We start from the raw sequence: 6,724 nt of genomic DNA on the forward strand, positions 1-6,724 counted from the left end.
TTTCATTTAATAATTTACCCTGAAAAGTATTAGATATTAAAACACATGTTCCAAAGTACATAGAGAAAGTGAGAAGTAATATAAGCATATGAATTATTCATTTCTGCTTCTATTACTAATTTTCCCATTGATTTGTTGTTTCATTACATTATAAACAAAACATAATATTCTCACTATTTTTACTGTTGAATTAGCTGAGCACTTTTTGTCAAATACTGTGACAAAACTATGGGTGTTGGGAAAGTGTAAATTTTTTTATGGGTGTTGGGAAAGTGTAAATTTTTTGCTCAATTGAGCTGTATCGATTAGATCAAAATAAGCAAGAAGGTAATTTAGGTCTTACTTATTTTTTTCCCCAATCCTAGGCTTAGAGTAGCCCATACTGATAAAATTTTCTTTATAATTGTAATTTTTTGTATGTAGATCATGACTATAAAATTTTCAATGTGGATCCAGTATTTACTTTACATAAAGTCCTTATTTTGTGTTTAACCAAAATTATGTATTACGTTGTATGAATAACTGACCCCTAGAAAAACTTTTAATATTCAGCTTCCTTCCATGTCTTTGTCTACCCTTTTACTTTCAACCTTTCTGACTTCGTGTTTCCAGTCTGTAACGAAGAGTAGGATTTTGCTTGATTATCCCATGTGAGCATGTGTTTTTCTTTCAGTACATAAACAGGCCAGGCACAGTGACTCATGCCTGTGATTCCAGCACTTTGGGAGGCCGAGGCGGGAGGATAACTTGAACCCAGCAGTTCAAGACCAGCCTGGGCAACATAGCAAAACCTTTTCTCTACAAAAATTTTTTTCACAAAAATAGTTGGATGTGGTGACATGCACCTATAGTCCCAGGAACCCAGGAGGCTAATGCCAGAGGATTGCTTAAGCCCAGGATGTTGAGCTTATAGTGAGCCATGATCACGCCACTGCACTCCTGGGTGAGAGAGCAAGACCCTGTCTTAAAAAAAATAGACAAGCAAATCTCATTTATGGAGATGAAGTGAATGCTTGGTCTTAGTTTTTCCATCTTAATTTATGTTATTCTTTTCTAGCATTCATGTTTTATTTATTTCTCAATAAGGTCTGTGCTTCCTTTATTGTTTTTGTTTACTTGTGATAATTTTAAAACTTTATACTCTTTTAAAGTCATTATGGTGGTTTATAACTATGATTTATTTAGTGAAATGAATTTATTTCTCTACCATTGCTTATTCATTTCCCTCTGCAAGGTTTACTGAGTTTATTATACATCGATTTTCTTCCACTTTTGTAACCTCCATTATTCCACATTATGTTGTTGATTGCATAATTCTTGTTTCTCTTCGAGGGTACCTTCTTACATTTATACACAGACATACCATTTGCTTGCTTTTCAAGATGTAAACAACACACATCTTTTCCCCAACACCCACATTTACTTACGTGAAAACTACATCTTATCTGTAGATTTTCTTCCACTCTGCCACACAGTTGCAAAGATGGAAAATTTCATGTCACTTCTGCTTCCTTTACAATGTTTTCTATGAAATAAATGAGGAAAATTATAGCAGCAGTTGTCATCATTGAAATAAATCTGCTTTTCCAAGTAAGGGATCTTTGATTTTGCCCTTCAGGATGGCCCTATGTCTTTGAGAAGCCACTATCCCAAGATTTCTGCCTGAAATCACCAGCAGCAGGCATTCATCTCATCCTTGCTTTATCTTATATTACGAAGTGAAGTATATCTATATCTGGATATGTTTTTTTTCTTGCCATCAAGATAGATTTCTATTTATCATTCCTGTCATTCATTAGAGTCAGACAGGAAAAGAAGAAATAGGTATCTTTATTACATCTCAAAGCCGCCAGAAATCCATTTAAGGGTTTAAGGTTGTGGGTTATCACAATCATGATTGTATTTTAGAAAGATAACCACAAATATATAAAACCATTGCCATATGTCAGGAGTGGTGGCTCACGCCTAGAATCCCAGCACTTTGGGAGGCTAAGAAGGCTGGATTACATGAGCTTAGGAGTTTGAGACCAGCATGAGCAAAATGGCAAAACCCTGTGTCTACAAAAAATACAAAAATTAGCCGGATATGATGGTGTGCATCTATGGTCTCAGCTACTGGGCAGGCTGAGGTGGGAGGATCACCTGAGTCTGGGAGATTGAGGCTACAGTGAGTTGAGATCATGCTACTGCACTGCAGCCTGTGTGACAGAGTGAGACCCTGACTCAAAAAGTAAACAAACAAACCAAACCCAAAAAACCCATTGCCTACATACTAATTCGGTTGTGATTTTTACAACATCTACAAATATTTCAGATATCATTGACTTTATCTAAAGACTATTCTGTTATGAGATGCCTGATGAATCACAATATAATTTGTATATTTTATACAGTAAGTGATTTAAGTAATCCAAGCATGGCAGGAATCTAAAAGCCCATAAAATTGATTCCCGGGCAAGATGGCCGAATAGGAACAACTCCGGTCTGCAGCTCTCAGGGAGACCAGCGCAGAAGGCAGGTGATTTCTGCATTTCCAACTGAGGTACCTGGTTCATCTCACTGGAACTGGTTAGACAGTGGGTGCAGCACACAGAGTGCAAGCAGAAGCAGGGTGGGGTGTCGCCTCACCCAGGAAGTGCAAGGGGTCAGGAAACTCCTTCCCCTAGGCAAGGGAAGCCCCGAGGGACTTTGTCATGAGGGATGGTGCTATCCAGCCCAGATACTATGCTTTTCCCATGGTATTCACAACCCACAGACCAGGAGATTCCCTTGGGTGCCTACACCAAGGGCCCTGGGTTTCAAGCACAAAACTGGGCCGTTGTTTGGGCAGACACTGAGCTAACTACAGGAGTTATTTTTTCATATCCCAGTGGCACCTGGAATGCCAGCAAGACAGAACTGTTCACTCCTCTGGAAAGGGGGCTGAAGCCAGGGAGCCAGGTGATCTTGCTTACTGGATCTCACCCCCACAGAGCCCAGCAAGCTAAAATCCACCGGCTTGAAATTCTTGCTGGCAGCACAGCAGTCTGAAGTCAACCTGGGACACTCCAGCTTGGTGGGGGGAGGCGCATCCGCCATTACTGAGGCTTGAGTAGGTGGTTTTCCGCTCACAGTGTAAACAAAGCCACCAGGAAGTTTGGACTGGGTAGAGGCCACCCGCAGCTCCGCAAAGGTGTTGTAGCCAGACTGCCTCTCTAGATTCCTCCTCTATTAGCAGGGCATCTCTGAAAGTAAGGCAGCAGCCCCAGTCAGGAGCTTATAGACAAAACTCCCATCTCTCTGGGACAGAGCACCGGGGGGAAAGGACAGCTGTGGGCACAGCTTCAGCAGACTTAAACGTTCCTGCCTGTCAGCTCTGAAGAGAGCAGTTGATCTCCCAGAATAGCGCTCCGGGTCTGCCAAGAGACACACTGCCTCCTCAAGTGGGCCCCTGACCCCAGTGCCTCCTGAAGGGGAGACACCTCCCAGCAGGGGTTGACCGACACCTCATACAGGAGAGCTCCAGCTGGCATCTGGTGGGTGCCCCTCAGGGATGAAGCTTCCAGAGGAAGGAGCAGGCAGCAATCTTTGTTCTTCTGCAGCCTCCACTGGTGATACACAGCCAAACACAGTCTGGAGTGGACCCCCAGCAAACTCTAGCAGACCTGCGGAAGAGGGGCCTGACTGTTAGAAGGAAAACTAACAAACAGAAAGTAATAGCATGAACATCCACAAAAAGGATGACCACACAAAAACTCCATCTGAAGGTCACAGCAAAGACCAAGGGTAGGTAAATCCATGAAGATAAGGAAAAACCAGGGCATAAAGGCTGAAAATTCCAAAACCAGAATGCTTCTTCTACTCCAAAGGATCACAACTCCTTGCCACCAAGGGAACAAAACTGGACAGAGAATGAGTTTGATGAATTGACAGAAGTAGGCTTCAGAAGGTGAGTAATAACAAACTCCTCTGAGCTAAAGGAGTATTTTCTAACCCAATGAAAGGAAGTTAAGAACCTTGATAAAAGGTTAGAGGAATTGCTAACTAGAATAATCAGTTTAAAGAAGAACATAAATGACCTGATGGAGCTGAAAACCACAGCACAAGAACTTCGTGAAGCATACACAAGTATCAATAGCCGAATTGATCAAGCTGAAGAAAGGACATCAGAGATTGAAGATCAACTTAATGAAATAAAGCATGAAGACAAGATTAGAGAAAAAAGATGAAAAGGAATGAACAAAGCCTCCAAGAAATATGGGACTATGTGAAAAGACCAAATGTATGTTTGATTGGTGTACCTGAAAGTGATGGGGAGAATGGAACCAAGTTAGAAAACACTCTTCAGTTTATTATCCAGGAGAACTTCCCCAACCTAGAAATACAGGCCAAAATTCAAATTCAGGAAATACAGAGAACACTACAAAGATACTCGTTGAGAAGAGCAACCCCAAGACACATAATTGTCAGATTCACCGAGGTTGAAATGAAGGAAAAAATGCTAAAGGCAACCAGAGAGAAATGTGGGGGCTACCCACAAAGGGAAGCCCATGAGACTAACAGCAGATCTCTCTGCAGAAACCCTACAAGCCAGAAGAGAGTGGGGGGTCAATATTCAACATTCTTAAAGAAAAGAATTCTCAACCCAGAATTCCAGCCAAACTAAGCTTCGTAAGTGAATGAGAAATAAAATCCTTTACAGACAAGCAAATGCTGAGGGATTTTGTCACAACCAGGCCTGCCTTACAAAAGCTCCTGAAAGAAGCACTAAATATGGAAAGGAAAAACCGGTACCAGCCACTGCAAAAACAACCCAAAATGTAAAGGCCATTGACACTATGAAGAAACTGTATCAACTAATGGGCAAAATAACCAGTTAGAATCATAATGTCATGATCAAATTCACACATAATGATATTAACCTTAAATGTAAATGGGCTAAGTGTTCCAATTAAAAGAGACAGACTGGCAAATTCGATAAAGAGTCAAGACCCATCAGTGTGCTGCAATCAGGAGGCACATCTCATGTGCAAAGATACACATAGGGTCAAAATAAAGGGATGGAGGAAGATTTAACAAGCAAATAGAAAGCAAAAAAAAAAAAAAAAAAAAAGCAGGGGTAACAATCCTAGTCTCTTATAAAATAGACTTCCAACCAACAAAGATCAAAAAAGACAAAGAATGGCATTACATAATAGTAAAGGGATCCATGCAGCAAGAAGATCTAACTAATGTAAATATATACGCACCCAACACAGGAACACCCGGATTCATAAAGCAACTTCTTAGAGACCTACAAAGAGACTCAGACTCCCACACAACAATAGTAGGAGGCGTTAACACCCCATTGTCAATATTAGATCAACGAGACAAAAAATTAACAAGAATACTCAGGAGTTGAACACAGCTCTGGACCAAGCAGACTTAATAGACGTCTACAGAACTCTCCACCCCAAATCAACATCATATACATTCTTCTCAGCCCCACATAGCACTCGTTCTAAAATCGACCACATAATTTGAACTAGAACACTCATCAGCAAAGGCAAAAGAAGGGAAATCATAACAAACAGTCTCTCAGACCAAAGTGCCAATAAATGAGAACTCAGGATTAAGAAACTCACTCAAAACCTTACAACTCCATGGAAACTGAACAACCTTCTCCTGAATGACTACTGGGTAAATAATGAAATTAAAGGATAAATAAATAAGTTCTTTGAAGCTGAGGAGAACAAAGACACAATATACCAGAATCTCTGGGACACAGCTAATGCAGTGTTTAGAGGGAAATTTATAGCACTAAATGCCCACAGGAGAAAGAAAGACAGAACTAAAATGGACACCATAACATCACAATTAAAAGAACTAGAGAAGCAAGAGCAAACAAATTCAAAAGCTAGCAGAAGACAAGAAATAACTAAGATCAGAGGAGAACTGAAGGAGATAGAAACACGAAAAACTCTTCAAAAAAATCAATGAATCCAGGAGCTGGGTTTTTTTTGAAAAGATTAACAAAATAGACCACTAGCCAGACTAATAAAGAAGAAGAGAGAGAAGAATCCAATAGACACAATTAAAAATGATAAAGGGAGATCACCACTGATCCCACAGAAATCAGAGAATACAATAAACACCTCCACACAAATAAACTAAAAAATCTAGAAGAAATTGATACATTCCTGGACACATATACCCTCCCAAGACTAAACCAGGAAGAAGTCGAATCCCTGAATAGACCAATAACAAGTTCTGAAATTGAGGCAGTAATTAATAGCCTACCAACCAAAAAAGAAGCCCAGGACCAGATGGATTCACAGCCAAATTTTACCAGATGCACAAAAAGGAACTGGTATCATTTCTTCTGAAATTATTCTAAGCAATAGAAAAGGAGGGACTTCTCCTTGACTCATTTTATGAGGCCAGCATCATCCTGATACCAAAACCTGCCAGAGACACAACAAAAAAAGAAAATTTCAGTCCAATATCCCTGATGAACATTGATGCGAAAATCCTCAGTAAAATATTGGCAAACTGAATTCAGCAGCACATTAAAAGCTTATCCACCATGATCAAGTCAGCTTCAACCCTGGGATGCAAGGCTGGTTCAACATAAGCAAATAAATAAACGTAATCCATCACATGAACAGAACCAAAGACAAAAACCACATGATTATCTCAATAGATGTAGAAATGGCCTTCAATAAAGTTCAACACCATTTCATGCTGAAAGCACTCAATAAACTAG

At 40.1% G+C, this 6,724-nt stretch overlaps 1 annotated feature.

Annotated features, from left to right (window-relative positions):
* Positions 3,045-3,545: an enhancer, noted in NCBI's record as "H3K27ac hESC enhancer chr6:63202223-63202723 (GRCh37/hg19 assembly coordinates)". NCBI's record gives its function as "activates a minimal SCP1, AML or CMV promoter by ChIP-STARR-seq in naive H9 embryonic stem cells {active_cell/tissue: H9 hESC(naive)}" and the evidence as "EXISTENCE:reporter gene assay evidence [ECO:0000049][PMID:30033119]".

Source organism: Homo sapiens, chromosome 6 (genome assembly GCF_000001405.40).
Source record: "Homo sapiens chromosome 6, GRCh38.p14 Primary Assembly".
NCBI classification, from domain to species: Eukaryota; Metazoa; Chordata; class Mammalia; order Primates; family Hominidae; genus Homo; species Homo sapiens.